Raw genomic sequence first — 19772 nt, forward strand, 5'->3', positions numbered from 1 at the left:
TCATCTGGCATGACAGTCACGTGTGTTTGTGACTTAATATGGTAGGTGTCATGCTCATATGAAAGTGTCTCTAGAAACAAAAAGTGACATGCACGGGCTTAGACTTGGCTTGAGTCCTCTTTGGAAATCTTTCCAACTTTATCATGTTGGTGTAATGGTAATTATTAACTTCAGGTCTGACACAGTGTTTGAAAGATAGCTGAATAGTCTTAATTTTGCCTTAATAGTTTAATAATAACATTTGAGGGTACATGTGAATTTTATCTAGAAAAAATAAACATATTTAAACTCAATTTTTAAATTAAATATATGGGTAATAATCTTATTTGGCATTCCACTTCTTATCCTTGAAGAAAAAAATATCGCTAACCTAAATCCTTTCCCATAAATACAACACACTTTCTTTTTGCCAGATGCTTAAATGTCATTGGTCTGTTTTAAAGTAATTCTATTTGATCTCTGTGAAACAGATGGAAGTATTTGTTATACAAACCTTATTTAGAATGTAATCTTTTTTTCTCTCCTGATTGCATATGTTTGGCAGTGAGCTTTCTCTTCTAGATGTGAATGAATCTTGGTTAGCCTCCAAATCTAAACACACCCTAATTTCAAAAACCACAATCCTGAGGACTCAATTCCTGTTTACTGAGGAATTAAAACCTAGAGAAACCACATAGTTACTAAATGCAGTACAACCTAGTGAGTTTTTAAAAACAAAAATCATTACAGTTTATTTAGGGTTATTGACTGTCATTAAGTTCAGAGAGTAAGATCTTTTCCTAAGCAGTATATAATATTTACAGTTGGTTAACTATATCTATTGCTTCTGAATCTTGAAATATACTCCTTATATGGCAAAGTGAGCTTGTGAGGTGGATAGGAAGCAGTAGACTGTGGTGTGGGGAATGAGGGAGCAGATGAGGAAAATTACTCATTTTTTTAAGTGTGTTGAATGACTAACTTCAATTCAAAAATGTGTCTGTTAAAATATTCATGTATAACTATCAGTTGCATTGTGTTTTTCTGAAAATCATTTTTTTCTTTCTTTCATATTTAAGAAACAAATAAACAAAAAATCTTAAGTATTCAACCAGACCAAAACCTGGACATGAATACTATTAGCAGTTCAACTGAAGAAAAATACATGAAAAAAGATAGGAAGGGAAAAAATTCAACACCCCCTTTGTCATTAAACAGTTCTAATCCAATTAGAAGGAAGAAAAAAAAGCAGGTAAAGTAGAAAGAATTAGAGATCTAAATTTACACTTCTCAGGATTGGATTTCACAGGCATACTTTATAGTTTTAGCAATCTTTGCTTAAAGATTACTAGGGTAGTAGTTGACATACCATAAACTTGAATCTGGAAGAAGGGTATCATGCATGCCACATGATACAGCATCCTCAAAAGTGTATACCATATTACATTAGTGAAAATGAATTGGATTAACTGTTCTGTGTTCCCATAACTTCCTAGAGGAATTTAATTGATTCATGTTTTAAGCAACATTTAATCATCAGTTTCTTCAAACAAAAATGAGAGGAGTATTGACTTTCCCCACATAGCTGTTTTAAAACCATACTCTCAAATTTCATTGTTTTATTGAGTTGGTTCATGGAATCCCTGCAAGTATGCTCATTTTCAACCATAAACGTGCTTAAGGTGAATTTCAGAATTAAAAAAAAAGAAAAGCTTTGGATCTTGAATCACTTACAGATTGACTCTATAAACTTAATAAAAAATCAGAAATTATATTTCTTTCTTGTTAATCTAAGGTGTGACACTGCCTGTCACATCATAAAATTATTGACTGATTTTTTGATAGTTATGCTTCTTTTGGATAAACCAACTATATTGCATAAATTCCTGGAAAATGAAAATTAAAAGATTAACACAGCTGCATTGGAAATATGTGGAAATAAATGATCCGGGATTGTTCTTATATGTCGTTCCTGTTATTTTACTTTATTTTATTAAGAGACAAGGTCTCGCTCTCTTGGCCAGGCTGGAGTGCAGTGGTGTGATCATAGCTCACTACAGCCTTGAACTGCTGAACTCAAGTGATCCTCTTGCCTCACCCTCTCAAATAGCTGGAACTACAGGCATGCATCACCATGCTGGCTTTCTCTTATTTTAATATGATATTTTTCTTTTATTAGTTGACATCCAAAAGGCTGACATTGTAGAGCAGAGAGCAGTTTCATGTTCACATTGTGGAATTTATGGCCATTTACTTTTTGTAGGCGGGTAGGTTCTCTGAGCACTTCTCCTTCACATTTGTTTTTAGTTTTGCATGGTCCGTCCACTTTACCATCTTGTAGCCCTCTGCTCTCCAGCCACCCACCCCCTTTTAGTTTCTCAAAACCATGCAGATCCTACCACTAGAACAGCACTGACAAAAGGTGTTCCTTCAGGCAGGAGATTTCCACTTACCATCTCCTTCTAGTAAAAGTCTCCTGAATCTTCAGTTGTCATTCTTTTCTTCCTTAGGAATTCTTTGTATCAAATCCTTCCATTTCAGGCTCATACAGCAACATGCACCTTGTCTTTAGAATGCTTGTAAACCTAGACATTGTACGCATATTCACTTTTCTTTACTCCCATTCTCTCTGATCTGATGAAAGTTCTGTTGTTTTTCCTTAGTATTGTATCTCCTTGGCACATAGTAAGCACTACAAAAAACATTTACCAGATGAATGCAAATAATTGTTTATGGCAGTTAGAACGCTACCCTTGACAAGTTCTCTTAAATAGAATTTCTTTTAAAATACCAGGGCTTTGATCATGATTTTAATGATGGCATTGTTTCTTGGAAGAAAGAGTAATTCTGTGATCAGATGTTCCACAAAGTACATTTGATTATCAGTGTTTACTTTTACATTTGAAATAAAGACTATTGCTTTCTTGGTCATTGTAACAGAAAGCAGAGTAACAATGTATTATAGAATCTGTTAGCCCAAGGAAAATGCACTTCTCGAACTGATCAGATCGCTGCCCTACACACTTTACCTCCACACTTATCAATTTGCACATCAAGATTAGTGTTTTCCTTATATGTCAATGCAAAAGACTTAAGAGATTATTTTTAGAACTCCCCAGCACTTCTTCCTGTTCCTGACCTTTTCCTTCTCCTTACCCACCCATGCATCTTGTTCTGAAGTACAAGGCTCAATACAGAAATTAATCCCTTGGAATTTGCTATGTCACTTCCTATTGCAACATTTGCTTTTTAGATGACCAGTTACCACTTACCCTTTCTTTTGGGAGGTCTTTACTAAGTGAGCTGTCTACAAAACGATGAGTCGTCCTGGATGGGTGTTGTTAGAGCAGGCCATTAGTTCTCCATTCTACCCATCCGATGCTTCCTTTTTCTCCCATCCAAGTGGGAACCACTGATGCTTCCTTTTTCTAACAAATATGCATAACGCCCTTTTCACTATTCTGAAAAGAAATGTATGGATAATAAATCTATATACATAACTTAAGTCACCTAATGTCTGACACTTAATATAAAGTAGTGCAGTAATGTATAATATTATATGATGTATTTAAGTATGTGAATGCTTATGTGTGATTGAACCAGAAGATATAAGGAAGTACATATTTGTTAAGGTATTTATAATCACCTTGAATACAATATCTAACAATGGTTTTATCACCATTAATGAGATTTTCCAAAATAGTCAACAGTAAATTTGAAGTAGAGTTTTTCTTAGATACTGCAGCATGGTTTTATTCCTGGACAGCTCTGTGTACCTTAAAATATGATATAAGATATTTAATTAATATTAAAATAATGTATATAAAATAGTGTATACTGCCCGGGCACGGTGGCTCATACCTGTAATCCCAGCACTTTGGGAGGCTGAGGCAGGTGGATCACTTGAGGTCAGGAGTTCGAAACCAGCCTGGCCAACCTGGTGAAACCCCGTCTCTACTAGAAATACAAATACAAAAATTAGCTGGGCGTGGCGATGTGTGCCTGTAGTCCCAGCTACTCAGGAGACTGAGGCAGGAGAATTGCTTGAACCCAAGAGGTGGAGGTTGCAGTGAGCCAAGATTGAGCCACTGCACACTTCAGCCTGGGCAACAGAGCAAGACTCTGTCTCAGAAAAAAAATAGTGTATGTTAACATCCTGAAAAATATTTAACGTGTACATTTTTTTTCAAATTATGCTTTTGTACATAAAAAGCTACTAAGGAAGATGCTGGTATCTATTACTGTCCTCTGCAAGGAAAAAGTAATTTTGTTGGGGAGCTACAATATGCATACAATTTTAATTATCATATAAGAATTCCACTGCTAGCATTCTATGAATAGTAGTTTAACAGAAAACACATCATAAGGCACTTTAAGTACCAACCTTAAAAAAGGGGGAGTAGATCATAAAGACTGTGGTGTTTTGGGAGGGGAAATATGGCATCCATCTGTAGCAAGGAGTGCAAATATTGCTTGAATTGAAAGGAGAGAAAGGGAGAAAGGGAGGGTTGCTGTATTACGTCTATGCCAGATTCACATTTCCCTCAGAAATGCTAGGTTCAACTACTGACCTATTTTAAATCACAGGCCTGTCTTCAATATGTACTGACCTGAAATGAAAAAATAGTCCAAATTTCTACTTTTTAAAAAGAGAGAGGAAAGAGGAGAAGCAAAAGGATCACTGTTATTGTTGTCCTCCTCAAGTTCTTTATAAAAATAGCTGGAGAATAAATCCTTAATAAATGTAAAAATTTTGGAATACTTTCATGTTCGTTTCATCCTAGCTTTGATCCTTGCCGCTATTTTTCCTCATGTTTTCAGTTCTAAATGTAAACCTGTTTGATAATGGAAACCCTTGTTTGCTTCTCCTTTTATTATGACTTTTTTTGGTTTCTCAGGAGGTCTTTGCTCAGGAGAACATGAATTGCACATCCTTGTGTGTGGTGTTGAATTGTTTGTAAGTTCCCTGTCTGCCTCTACCAGCCATTGTTTTTACATAAATTCTGTTCTTCTGTGATCTGCCTCGTTTGTCTCTTTGAGAACATTAACAAGCCTTTTAGCTTAGTGGAATACAAAAGTGTTTCCTGCGCATTCACTCTTTAATAACTATTCAGCTCTTCTGGGAGGACAGTTTCTTCTGACACACATAGAGTAAACATTTTCCAGTAATTTTCCTTGATGGCAGGCAAGCATTAGGGAAATGGTGCAGTTGGCTAGCAACCCCAGTAAATTTTGCCAACCTGATGCCATAAATGTTCACTAGGCTGTCTTCAAATTCCTTTATTCTGCTGATGTTACAGGAATGGACTTAAGACTAAGCATATTGTAGTTTATATATAAGACTTTCAGGTTTGGCCTGTGTGGTCATATAAGGTAGAGGTTTTTGAATGGTAGCAAACATAATTGTTCTCATGCCTGCTAAAAACCTTGGTTATGACTAAAGCTGGATCCTAACTTAAAATTATGCATGAACAGTAAAAACATTTGATGGTTTTGATGTATTATGTTTGATAGGGTCATCAACCTTCCCTTCTTACTTCCCATGATTGCAACAACTGAAATTTAACTGGGCAATAAATTTATTAAAGGAATAAATAGTCAACTCTCTTAATAAGGATGTAGAACTCCTATCATGTTTTTCTTCACTGAACTTATTTAGGAACTTGAGTGATTCCAGATGGTATTACATGAGTATTTGGCTCTGAATTTCTTGTTTTCTCACATTTGCCAACATACAAGTGTTCAAGACTTTCAGGTCCCTGAGGAGCTGTTCAGCCATTGGATATACAACTTTAGGTTGCTATGGTATATTTGATCATTCTTTTGAAAGTTCTCCTCAGTCCTTGGCATTTTAAAATATGAAAATTATTTAATGTAACCCGGAGAAGAAAGATCTGTGGAGCTGTAGTGTGTGAGTCAGTGGACCATAAAATGTAGATCTCTTGAAAAGCTAGTTTTCAAGATGAGACGAGATCAACAAGTAGTATATAGACCACCCATAAACTCTTGAATGTGGAATGTGTAAAAATGTATTTAAGTGGCCCTTTAATAATGCAAAAGTATTTTCCCTTAAATGTGCTGGGAAGTCCCCAGTCCAACACACAAAAGGCCATTTCATGCATAACATATATATAGGGTTTTTACATACTCAAATAAAATGAGAGAACCAAACCACGAGATCTTTTTTCCCCTCCAATAAATATTTAGAGTGAACCTACTGTGTGCCAGGCACTGTTCTAGGTGTTGGTATTACAAAAATGAATCTTATATTCACCTCTTTGAAGAGCTTTGGATGTAATGTGGATGACAAACATGAAACCAAATAATTAAAACCTATTGTTCTTAAGTGCTAGATAGAGTTCTTTGGAAAGAGTGGGGCAGTTGCTGAAAAGGCAACAAGGACTTGATCTTCGGGGAGGTAGAAGGATGTTCATAGAGAGGCAGTATCTGGGATTGTTCTTAAATGTTGGTCAATAATATGCTGCAGAGAAGAGATAAAGACCCAGCAGATGGAGCAGTATGATCAAAGGCATGGATGTAAAAATCTATAATGTGTTTTAGGTGAGGAATTTTGTGTTGCTGACAAGTAGTGCCTAGGGAAATGGGAGTCAGAGGAGGGGCAGGGATTGAGACTGGCAGGGATGGATGTGGACAGGTTGCTGTGGGGTAGCAATGAGAGTGAGAGGGAGAAGTCTGTTTCTAAGATGTTTTTCAGGGGAAGACTCAACAGGAAATGTTGGTAACAGGATGTGGGAGACAGGAGACCATACACAGGCTTCTTTCTTGGGTATTTGGATCACCATAGCTGGGATTGGATGTTCAAAATGATGAACAGATTTGGGGACAAAATAGAACGGATGATCAATGGCTCATTTTGTTTTTTTTCTTTCAAGTTTTTATTTTAGACTCATTATAGATTCAGAGGACTTTGTAAAAATAGTACACTGTGTCCCATATACCCAGTTTTCCCCAATGATAGCATCTTATAAAACTATAGTATAACATCAAAACCTGGAAAATTACATTGGTATGATCCGTGGACCTTTTTTAGATTTCACCAATTTTGCATGCACTCCTACTGGGTGTGGGCATCATGTACACACATATGCATGTACAGTTCTATGCACTCGTGTCACATGTTGATTCCTATAATTATCAGCACAATCAAGATGTAAAACAGGACGAGTGGGTGGCTCATGCCTGTAATCCCAGTACTTTGGGAGGCTGAGGCGGGCTGATCACGAGGTCTATCACAAGGTCAAGAGATTGAGACCATCCTGGCCAACATGGTGAAACCCTGTCTCTACTAAAAGTAAAAAATTAGCTTGGTGTGGTGGCACGCACCTGTAGTCCTAGCTGCTCAGGAGGCTAAGGCAGGAGAATTGCTTGAACCCAGGAGGCAGAGGTTGCAGTGAGCCGATATCATGCCACTGCACTCCAGCCTGGGGAGACTCCATCTAAAAAGAAAAAGAAAAGAAAGATGTAAAATGATTCCATCACCCAAAACCATGACCCAAAAGATCCCTTGTGCTACCCCCTTGTAATTACACCATCTCTTTCTCCATCCCTAACCCCTGGTAGTTAATAATCTGTTTCCATCGCTATAATTTTGTCATTTTGAGAATGTGACATAAATGGAATCATACGGTATATAACCTTTTAAGATTAGCTTTTTTCCACTCAGTATAATTTCCATGAGATCCACTCAAGTGTTGAGTGCCTCAGTAGTTCATTTCATTTTATTGTTGAGTAGTATTTCATGGTATGAACATACTAACATTTGTTTAATCTTTCACCTACTGAAAGGCATTTGGGGTGTTTTGAGTTTTTGGGTATTACACACAAAACTGTTATGAACATGTATGTACATAATTTTTTGCATGTCGACTTAAGTTTTCTTTTTTTGTGTGATAAATGCCCAGGACTGCAATTGTTGTGTTACAAGTTGTGTATATTTACGTTTTAAGAAACTGACAAACTGTTTTCCAGAATGGTAGTACCATTTTCCATTCTCAGCAGCAATATATGAGAGGTCCAATTTTGCTGCATCCCTGGTATGGTTACTAATTTTTATTCTAGCTGTTACAATAGATTTGTAGTGATAGTCCATCATGATTTTAATTTGCATTTCCTTAATGGTCAATGAGGCTGAACATCATTTCATGTGCTAACTTGTCATCCATGTATTCTCTCTGGCGATATGTCTGTTTATGTCTTTTTCCCGCTTTCTAGTTAGATTGAGTTGCTCATTTGCGCCACCTCAGATCACCTCTTTCTTCCTTGTTGCTGCTGGGTGGAAGTTTGGCTGCCCACTGGGCCCCCAGATACCAGGTTGATGGGAAGTTGGAGTAGGCCTTGTATTAAGTAGCACTGCCTCATACCCACTTGCTCCACTTCATAGCGCTGGAGTGACAGTTCAGCTCTTCACTTAACACCTCAATGGGACAGTTTTTCATTTGGTGTTTGGCCTAGGGCAGGTATTAAGAGAAAGGTTTTCTGCTCTGGCAGACCACTTTTTTCCTAGTCCTTTGTCTGGAGGAAGGAAACTGGCTTTTCTTTTTCTTTTTCTTTTTTTTTTCCATGTATCTGCTGGTGGTTCCAGGTTCTAAGCTTCTTTAGCACCCACTCTGGGATAAATGGGAAGAAAATAGAAAACTCAGGAAGTTCATCACCATGCTGTTAATGATACTGTGAGGTCGTTGGCCAGTCTGCCTTCTTTCCACCCTTCATTGCTTCCCTATGTTTGTTTGTACCATTATGTCCAGGTATTATTCTAAAAATAATTGTTAATCAGTAAAAAGTTTTGAATAGGATATACATGCTCTGATTTGCACCTTTTAAAAACAATCACATTAAGTACTTCATAGAACATGTGTTAGAGAGAGTCAGGGATGATTTAGGGGAGACCAATCAGGATATTAGAATAGTTGAGTTGAGAGATGGCGGTTTGGACAAGGATGGTGGCAGTGGAGGTGGATCTGAGACTCAGTGATTCACTGGATGTGGAAGTGAAATATGAGTAGATGTTTAGGATAACCCCCAGCTTTCTGGGTGGGTGACGAGTTTTCCAGTTTACTGGAATGAGGATCACTGAAGATTTAGAGGAAGAAAACCTGACTTGATTTTGAAATATGTTTCATCTAAGATGCTTCTGAAGTATGCAGGTGAAAAAGTTGAGAAAGTAATGGTCTGTCTGGACGTGGAATGAAAATACAGGCTTAGAAGGGAAACCAGAGCTAAATGTATTTATTATATAGTGTGGTGAGGTATAGTGGATGAAGACCTGGCAGTGGGGATGGAGTGGGTTCAGCAGAGGGAGGGAAGAGATTCACAAGAAGAAGATGTAATGTAATCAAAGGGAGCAATATTAGGATGTAAGGTTGCCTAGTCAACATAAAAGTATCAGGAGTGATGGCGTTTGTGGAGAGAGGCAAAGGGCTTAGCATTTAGCTACATTATGAAATTGGAGAGAAAATGAATAAAGGAACTCGTAGAAGTTTGGCCAGCCCAATATTTCTACATTATATCCCTTAGAACACTGGTTCCTTGGGGGATATCTTTCTGTCTGTCTGTCTTAGACACACACAAATGCACACGTTTTGTGAGAAATTAAGTATAAGGAATGCTCTTAAACAAAACTAGTATTTCCAACAGCATAATTTCAAAGAGTGTTTAGCATCGTGAGTCTTCACAACAGATGTGGTATACAACAATTCCTAAGACATCTCAGGGATTTAAGTTAGTGTCCTCTGGGAGTTAGTTCTTGTAGACTGAAACGATGTCGTCTTGGAAGGGACTTTCCCTTATGGAAGTGAAAAAGACTGGGCGAGGGAAGGTTTGTTAGTTGAATGTTCAGAACCTGGAAATTCTTTGATGTGATTAACTAATGTATAAGTGTGGAGCCACTTTGTTCGTGTATTTGGCCATAAGGAAGAATGAGCCTATTTCAGCATTCGAGAAATAGTTGCTTAGCACCATTCATAAACTCAGCAGAAATGGGTATCAATTCAATATCATAGCCGCCTGTTTCCCCTCCCCCGCAAATGAAACATCTTCCTGCCTATAGCGTTAATGATTTTTTTCCCCAGGAGTTGAAATAGTACAATTCGGTTGCAGAAGGTATATGAGTCTAGGGTGGTGGAGGTTGAAGTATTTGGTGAAATCTGCGATGACATCTAGGAATCTGAATCTGCGCTGGCTGGTGGTGACTGGTGAAAGCATCCAGGTTAGCAGCAACTGGGGTGTGTTTCATTTATAGGCAAACACAGTAAATCTTGAGAAAGGAATATTCTGCTACAGATCTGCAAATGATCAGGGTGAGATTGGGAAGGGGTGAAAGGAAGGAGCAAAAAGACAGTACTTGTAGACTGAAACGATGTCATCTTGGAAGGGACTTTCCCTAATGGAAGTGAAAAAGACTGGGGGAGAGGGAAGGTTTGTTAGTTGAAAGTTTGGAACCTGGAAATTCTTTTATGTGATTAATTAATGTGTAAGTGTGTAGCCACTTTGCTCATGTATTTGGCCATAAGGAAGAATGAGCCTGTTTCAACAATGGCTCGTGTTTGTTCCATGTAAATGGCAAAGAACCAGGTACTTAGCACAGAAGACAAATGAGGAAAATTGTAGCTTCCTCACATATCTGAAAGAGATTTTGAAATGACCCTAGAGAGTGGACCTGGGACCGATAGCTAAAAGTAGAGGAAATGTTTTGTTTAGTATAAAGAAGCCCATAGTTTTGGTGTTTCTGAACACTGTTCTTTAAAGATGTGATGACCAATTTAGGACGACAGTGAATTTTGTCACTCAAAGTGCTTAAGTATGGGGGTGGGTGGTTGAGAATTTAATGATCAGCTAGATAGGAAGGTTTTACCGAACATTAGTTCTCAGTGTCTGCTCCGTGGATGCCCAGGGATTCCTGCCATTCTTTTTGAGGGGATCTGCAAGGTCAAAACTATTTTCCTGATACCGCTAAGATGGTATTTGCCTCCTTGTGTAAACAGCTGTGCTGATTAAGCAAAAGCAGCGGTAGGTAAAAACGCTGGTGCCTCAGCAAGAACCAAGGCAGTGACACCAAACTAAGTTGTTGCTGTAATTCTTCACCACTATGCTCTCACAGGGGGAAAAAGTCATTTCCTTTGATAGAGCAATAAAAATGATCTATTCTATTAAAACTCAGCTATTTAATATGTGTCTGAATCTTCTGTGTGATGAGGTGGGAAGTAAACATAAAGTCTACTGCATGGCAAAGTATGTCGTTATTTTGATGAAAAATACTTGTGTGATTATTTAAATTGTGAATTGAACTTGTTTTTTTTTTTTCATTGAACACCATTTCTACCTGAAAACCAGACTGCAAACCGTGGTTATTCATACCTTGATATTTGCTAGACATTTTCTTGAACAAAGTAAGCCAGTTACGTCAAGGAAAACCACTCAGAGTATTTGTTACCAAGGATAAAGTCTAAGCTCTAAAGCAAAAATTAGAATGTTGGAAGTCTTTTATCCACCAGCATAAGCTTGAAAGTTTCACCTATACTTAAATACTTTTTTCTGATAGGATTACAGATGGTATTTTTAAAGAATTGACTTTATTTTTAGTAATCCAAAATGACATATCCCAGAATCTGGGAGCTCTGTGTAAATCAGTGAATCAATAATTTTTAAATGACCATTCTCATTGCAAGATAGAAAATAAATTTTTATGTAACATAGTACAAAAAGTAAATTGATATGGTTTTCACTAACTTGGTGTAGTACTAAAGATTATCTACACTTATCTGAAAAAGCTATTAAAATATTCCTCACTTTCCCAACTACCTATCTGTATGAAGCTAGATTCTTTTCCTATACTTCATCCAAAGCAGCAAATCACATTAGATTGAATGCAAAAGCAGATACAGATTCCAGCTATAAGCCAGACAATAAACAGAACTTCAAAAATGTTAAACATTGCGACTCCTCTAATTTAAAGAAAAAAATCAAATTATTTTTACATTAATGGACTTTTATGATAATTTTGATTGAATGAATACATATTTGAAACACTTCTTGGTTTAATACCTAATATGGTAAATATCAGTAGCTATACAGATACTCCTCAACTTATGATGGGGTTATGTCCCAGTAAACCCATTATAAGTTGAAAATATCTTTAATAAACAGTGCATTTAATACACCTAGCTTATCTATCAAATATCACAGCTTTCCCTAGCCACCCTTAGCCTACAGTTGGACAAAATCATGTCACAAAAAGCCGATTTTATATAAAGCTAATATAAAAATTTTGAGTCAAAATTCAAAATATGATTTTTACTGAAAGTCTATTGCTTTTCCCACCCCAACTTACTATGGTTTAAAAAAAAATCATAAATCAAACCATAGTAAGTTGAGGACCCTCTGTAATCCTCAAAAACTAAAGCTCCTTGGCATCTTCTATAATTTTTAGGAGAGTAAAGAATCTTCGGTCTAAAATGCTTGAGAATTGCTATAGTTGATGGCCTGTGCTTCTTTCCATCCCTGAGATTTTTATGATTCTATGATATTATACTAATTCAGTGCTTGCTGAAAGTGTCCACGCAAAGGAATTTCTCTCTTCCTTGCCAGGCGTGCCAACACTCAGGCTTTGCTACGACAGAGAGAGGATTTAGAGACGAGAAACAGACAGGTGTTGTCCCTGTCCTCACAGAACTTCCAGTCTCTGTGTGGAAGATATAAACCCAAAATTCACAAAAATAAATAAAATTACAGTGGCGGTATGCTAGAGAGGAAAAGTAGTTGGAAGAGGGTCTTTCCTCAAGAAACAGTTCCCCCATGAAGTGACTGAGCATGTATACGTAATGAGCCTTTCAGACCGAGGAATCCACACGTGGAAGGGCACTGTGGGGGATGGAAAGCACTGTTGTTCCGTGTCACCATGAGAGAGGGCTTGTGGCTGGCACACACGTTCCTGGAAAAGAGTGAAGCTGAACTGTGGTCCCCTTGGTGTTCCATGGCAAGCATGTTGCCATTTATCCTTTGCAAGATATTTAGGAGGTTAATTTTTTTGTCTATGTCATAACTTCTCTAAACCTGTTCTTTATCTTCATTGTTCCTCAAGTTCATTTCATAATAACTTGATTTCCCTTCCTGATCTTCCGCCATCCCCAAGAACCCCCCTCCTCTTTATTTTCCGTGGCTGGTTCATCATTGTTGAATTTTAGTTCCTTTTCTTCTCTCCCCTTGTTTGCATTCCTCACACATTGACTCTTCAGACCTTTTTCTTTTCTTTTTTCTTTTTCTTTCCTTCCTTCCTTTTCCTTTCCTTTCTCTTTCTCTTTCTCTCTTTCTCTCTCTTTTCTTTTCTTTCTTTCTCTCTCTCTCTCACACTCTCACTCTCTCTCACTCTCTCACCCAGGCTGGAGTGCAGTGGCCCAATCTCGGCTCACTGCAACCTGCACCTCCCAGGTCCAAGCATTTCTTGTGCCTCAGACTCCCGAGTAGCTGGGAATACAGGCATCTGCCACCACGCCCGGCTAATTTTTTGTATTTTTAGTAGAGACAGGGTTTCGCCATGTTGGCCAGGCTGATATCGAACTCCAGAACTCAGGCAATCTGCTCACCTCGGGCTCCCAAAGTGCTGAGATTACAGGCGTGAGCCATGCCCCTGGCCCAGACCTTTGACCTTTTTCACTCTGTGTCATCCTCTTCAACCTGACCTTCCTTATTTATGGGCAGTAACCTCACTTCCAAATTTAGTAACAAAGTTGAGATCATCCACGTGAAAGATCTTTCTAATATTCTTTTCTGTATCAAAATCCTCTGTGTCCTTGTTCTTCCCTTCCGTTGTTGTTCCCATTTGTGAGGATAAAAATGTCTACTTTCCTACATTTTCTGTCTCTGACCTCTTCTCTCACATCTCTGCTGGCTTCTCCTCATCCTCCTTCCTGTTCTTCCTCCTCTTGCCTGTTTCTTGATAGGTGAGCCTCCCCCAGGATCTGTCCTTGGCTGACTTCTGTCTTTCCTCTGAAGCTTCCTCCTCAGGGTTCTCTTCATGTCTGACTTAAGGACAGCTGATTCCCAATGGTATCTTTTGCCCTCGCAGCTCTCCGAATGTTCCAAGTTCTCTCAAGCCTCACTGTCATGCTACCATTACTTAGTACCACAAAAGGAACACCTGTCACACTGTTTCATGGCAGTTTATTCTTTTGTCTGCCTCCTGTTTGGGCTGCCTGAAGGCAAGAGTTGGGATTTGCTAGCCCTTGTTTTCCCCCTTACCATAATAGTGAGTTGTGGTCCGCGAGTGATACTTATTTGATGAATTGAAAGCACCAATTTCAAGCCTGCTTTACATTCCTAACACTTTAGAGATCTCCCCATCTGGACATTCCAACTGGGTAATTTTTCATTTGCTATTGATTTATACACTATTCTGGTGAAGTTACCTTTTCCAGAGCACTGTCGGATTGAATAGGAGAGGGCATTATTTGAAAATTGGCACTTGATGAAAACGATTTTTAAAAAATACAAACTGTGCTACAAGAAATGGTTTAAGGCCAGGCGCAGAGGCTCATGCCTGTAATCCCAGCACTTCGGGAGCTCCAGGAAGGCGGATCACTTGAGGCTATCGAGACCAGCCTGGCTAACATGGCGAAGCCCTGTCTCTACTAAAACTACAAAAATTACCTGGGCATGCATGGTGGCTGGCACACACCTGTAATCCCAGCTACCTAAGTGGCTGAGGCATGAGAATTGCTTAAACCTGGGAGGCAGAGGTTGTAGTGAGCCGAGATCATATCACTGCACTACAGCCCGGGCAACAGAGTGACAGAGTGAGACCCTGTCGAAAGAAGGAAAGAGAGAGAGAGAGAGAGGGAGGGAGGGAGGGAGGGAAGAAAGAAAGAGAAAAAGAAAACAAAAACAGGTTTAGCTCTTGGACTAGTCCACAAATGACTATTTTAAACCTTGCATCAAAAAAAAAAATTGAAAACAAAACTGTAGCTGTACTACGTTATAGTTGTGGGGGTATTTACTTAAATAATGAATATTCACTGCATGTCTGTAATTTGTTGGGGTGTTTACAAACTATGAGGGGAATTCTAAGATGCGTCAAAAGCTTTAGGGATTGGCTTATGTGTTTCTTTAAGATGATTAATGTTTCAAAATGCATGGATTCAGGTGTACCACTACCATCTTTGTGCATGTCAATCATCGCTGTGGTTGTAGAATGAAAAGGGATATGTTTTTGAAGTAATCGGTTGAAGGGGGAAAATGAAGGGGATTCATACTGTATATCTAGGCTGAGGCAGGCAAACAGCTTGAGCCCAGGAGTTTGAGACCAGCCTGGGCAACATGGCAAAACCCCGTCTCTACAAAAAAAACAAAACTTAGCTGGAGGGTAGTCCCAACTTCTTGAGAGGCTGAGGTGGGAGGACCTATTGAGCCCAAGAGGTCAAGGCTGCAGTAAGCTGAGATCGCGCCACTGCACTTCAGCCTGGGTGACACGGTGAGACCCTGTCTCCAAAAAAAAAAAAAAAAAGAGAAGGATAAGGAAGGCTTCATTTGGCCATATTCCTCCAAAAGTAACATAGGTTAAAAAAAGAGTGTATACTTATTAGAGTGTATACTTTCTCATATAAATGCACATGTGTATATATGCATACAAACACACACATACAGATTTGATCTTCATTATTTGCAGATTCTATATTTGCTAACTTGCCTAGTGTCAGTTAACTCCAAAACTGACACACATGGGGCTTTTATAGTTATTTGCAGACATGTACTGAGTGGTGAAAAATTTGAGTCTCCCAACACACATACATGTTCTTACTGAAATCGAACAAGGCAATGTTCTGCCTTTTTGTTTCAGCTCTCGTGCAGTAAGGCATCCCTTTTGCAGTCCATTTAGTACCATGTTTTTTGCACTGTTGTGCTTTTGTTAGTGATTTTGGAGTCTAAGAGGGCCCCAAGCACAGTGTTAAAGTGCTGGCTAGTGTTTCTGAGCACAAGACGGCTGTGATGTACCTGATGGGGAAAAATCTGTGTGCTGGACAAGCTTTGTTGAGGCGTGAGCTATGGTGCTGCTGGCCTTGAGTATTAATGAATCAACAGAATATATTAAATGTCTTTAAACATCAAACAATGTTACATATTGGTGAGTCAATGAAAATGTTGTGACCCCAGAGGCTCACAGGAGCCCTATATTTTTTCTAGAAGTAATAGTTCAGTATATGCTGATTCAGTGCCCAGTCCATAAATAGCAAGAATTGACCGTGTGTGTGTACACATGTATGTATATATTTGTGCACATGTGTATATGAGAGTGAGAGGGCCAGAGATTACCTGAGGTGGAGTTAACTAAGCCCCAGAGAGAAAAAGAGAAACTATGTACCCATAGTTGTGGATAACAAGAAAGGAGTTTATGGGGCATAGATAAAGTGACAGTTCCCTTGACTTGCCAAAAAGTTTACTGTCAGCCCAGGGCAGCTTTATTTCTTTCTGAAGTGAGCAGAAATGGTCTAATAGAGTACAAGGTATAAAGGACTGTGCAATTAGTAATTCATATGTGCTGAATAGTTTGGGGAGTGCCTCTAGAGTACTAGTAGAAAGTCACTTTGTTCTGAAGACATTGATGAATTTCATCCTTCTCTTGTATCTTTAATTATTACTCTGATTTACTTTAGCCATCTTTTTGCGCTTACAGCTGCCTTTTGATTTGTTTTTGTGTTGTTTAAGACCCAGGGAAATTTACTGTGTCCATGGAGTAGGATTCTGGTCATTCAACCCCACGTTGAGTCTATTCAACAGCTAGATTGAGTGTATATTAAGGTGTCTAAACAAAATCAAACTAAGAAACCTAATTATGTCACCAAACTGTAGCAAGCTGGATTTTTTTTTTTTATATGAGGTTTTGGGTATAGAAAGGGGTTAGGCTCGGAGATAGTTGACTAACCAACTGCTCTGGTAGAAACTCTTTCCTTTAAGACAATAAAGAGGTTATAGGGATTGGAGACCTTTATGTGTTATACTTTGGTGGGGACTTGTGTGTCTTAAAACAACCCTTGCCTTGTCTGTATTCTTAGCTTTAATGTTCTTTTAGAATATTACCTGAGTCTCTCATTTGCCAGAAAGATGGGTATTGTCATTTTTAAAAGTCTGTCTTGTAATATGGCTTTACATGGTCTTATGATATTATTTATGAGGCTGACTCTCATAGGTAACTGACGAATGAAGTAGTATTTGCTCAAGTAGTAAAATTCTTGAGCAAAGCCACAATTAACTGGAGATAAAAGTAAGATTACTGTGCAATTGAAATTCTAGAAGAAGAGTTTTAATTTTTTGAGTAGCTTGGGATATTTGCAGTGAAATGTACCTCCGTTACTTCTTTGTATTCTTTTGACGCATCACATTCCAAATGCAAAATTTATGAAACTGTCAGAGGATCAGCTTCTCTGGCAGATCTCTCATCAATTCTTCTCTCGTTAAAAGAAACTTCTTTTGAGACACGTCTTTGTTAGTTAATCCTATCAACTGAAAACCTGCATCTCAAAACAATCAGTAAATACAAAGCAGAACCTAGCTTTGTTTAGGTAGTATCTATCAATTCTCTTGAAATTTATCAGGCTGTAGCTTCTATAGCAGTTCTCGGCTGAGCTGCTCGTCTATTTAAACAAAAATAATATTGAAAGAATATTAACTTCTGAAGACGACTCAGAAATCATAATATAGTGGTCTATTCTTAATGCATGAAGAAAATGTGATATTTTGGCTCTTTTAATACACCTTTGTGAGTTGTAAAATAATAAAGACAGGACTACAAATAAAAATAATCCAAATACTCTATAAAATAAAGACAGATTTGTGCTTCTTGAAGTCTATAAAATCTCCTACCCTATATTAATATTAAAATGTACAGGATCTTCTCTCATAAGGAAACACATTTAGAATGACAAATTTTTAGTTTGCGATTATAAAGGGTAACAGAAGACACTTAAGAAGAAAATAAGCATGGAGTCATTTTTGTATCAAAAAGAAAATCCAGGCCAGGCGCAGTGGCTCATGCCTGTAATCCCAGCAGTTTGGGAGGCCGAGATGGGTGGATCACCTGAGGTCAGGAGTTCAAGATTAGCCTGGCCAACATGGTGAAACCCTGTCTCTACTAAAAATACAAAAAATGAGCCAGGCGTGGTGGCAGGTGCCTGTAATCCCAGCTACTTAGGAGGCTGAGGCAGGAGAATGGCTTGAACCCGGGAGGCGCAGGTTGTAGTGAGCAGATGTGGCGCCATTGTACTCCCACCTGGGTGACGGAGCAAGACCCCATCTCAAAAAAAAAAAAAAAAAAAAAAAAAGAAAAAGAAAATCCAGCAAAAGGATCAAAACCTTTTATTTTTGTTCCATGACTTAAATCATTTAATTATATTTTCCCCCAAGTACAAAAATCAATAAACAATGATTTCCATAGTTAAATAAATACTTTTTTTCTTTAAAAATGTTATGAAACCTTTAGTATCAAATTACTTCCAAATTCAACTTGACTTCTGAATAAGAAATACTACTTTATAAAATGAAATGCCTGTGTTCTAGAAAGTATTATAGACAGGCAAAATAACAAAGGAAAACTATTGTTTTAAAGCATGCTTGAATGAATAAACATTTCTCAGATCACTAATGGTCAATAACATTATTTGGAAGATTTGGGGATAATCTGGTTTGCATTAAACATATTTACACTTTATTTTATTTATTTATTTATTTATTTATTTATTTATTTATTTATTTATTTGAGACAAGAGTCTTGCTCTGTCACCCAGGCTGGAGTTCAGTGGTGCAATCTAGGCTCACTGCAACCTCCTCCTCCCAGGTTCAGGTGATTCTCCTGCCTCAGCCTCTCAAGTAGCTGGGATTACAGGCACCTGCCACCATGCCCCGCTAATTTTTGTATTTTTAGTAGAGATGGGGTTTCACCATGTTGGCCAAGCCAGTCCTCAAACTCCTGACCTCAGGTGATCCGCCCGCCTTGGCCTCCCAAAGTGCTGGGATTACAGGCATGAGCCACCACACCCGGCCATATTTACACTTTAAAATGCCTCATGAATTAAGTCAAGCTTTACTATATACAGATGCTAAGAAACATGAAAATATATAGCGTTTCGCTGTATTCAGATCAGCAAATTTATCAAGATAATTAGATTATTATCTAAGGGATTCAGTTGGCCAGACTTTGAAAAACTATTTGGTTTTTGTTTTTCTAGAGAGCACAGTCAGACGAACTCGAAAAAATAGAAAAGCATGGCCGATCTTCCAAAGACAAGGAAAATGCCAAGTCTCTGGACAAACCTGAACAGTAAGCATGTCTTATAACCACGTAGAGGGCGTCCAGGCTATGGGTGGGCCCGTTTTGTTTGGAAAATGCAAATGCGGTGTCTTCAGTGCATACTTGTTGTGAATGAGATGAGGATAAACATCTGTTTATGTGAATTATATTTTTCTTCTTAACTTGGCTTTATTTCCTTAGGTTCCTTTATGAACTGTCACTAATCCCCAACTTTTCAGAGCGAGTCTTTTGCATCCTGTTCCAGTCCACATTTTCAGAAAGCATTTGCTCAATTCGTCGCAAACTGGAATTACTACAGAAATTGTGTGAGGTGAGTTCTGGTCCAAAGAGAGCTGAACTTGAGTCTCATTTAATTGTGCTCAGCCATGTTCTTATTTCAGAAAAGCATTCTTTTATTTACTCTAAGTACTCACCAAATTTGAAGGATCGCAGTCCCACAGAAGGGAACATTTTATGATTGACCTTCAAGATCAAAGTAAAT

The 19772-nt window shown here is 38.2% G+C and overlaps 1 protein-coding gene across 6 annotated transcripts in view; it reads left to right on the top strand.

Annotated features, from left to right (window-relative positions):
* The window catches only part of FMN2 (formin 2), a 383305-nt gene that overhangs the window by 217985 nt on the left and 145548 nt on the right, over positions 1 to 19772 (top strand). For 5 of the 6 annotated variants that reach the window (NM_001305424.2, NM_020066.5, NM_001348094.2 and 2 more), the window contains 2 exons: positions 19209 to 19300; positions 19472 to 19601. In NM_001305424.2, coding sequence (NP_001292353.1) covers positions 19209 to 19300; positions 19472 to 19601 — 222 coding nt within the window. Of the gene's footprint in view, positions 1 to 19208; positions 19301 to 19471; positions 19602 to 19772 lie in introns of those variants that run through there. The other variant, XM_017001837.2, reaches the window with a different exon arrangement.

This window comes from Homo sapiens, chromosome 1, assembly GCF_000001405.40.
Source record: "Homo sapiens chromosome 1, GRCh38.p14 Primary Assembly".
In the NCBI taxonomy this organism is placed as follows: Eukaryota; Metazoa; Chordata; class Mammalia; order Primates; family Hominidae; genus Homo; species Homo sapiens.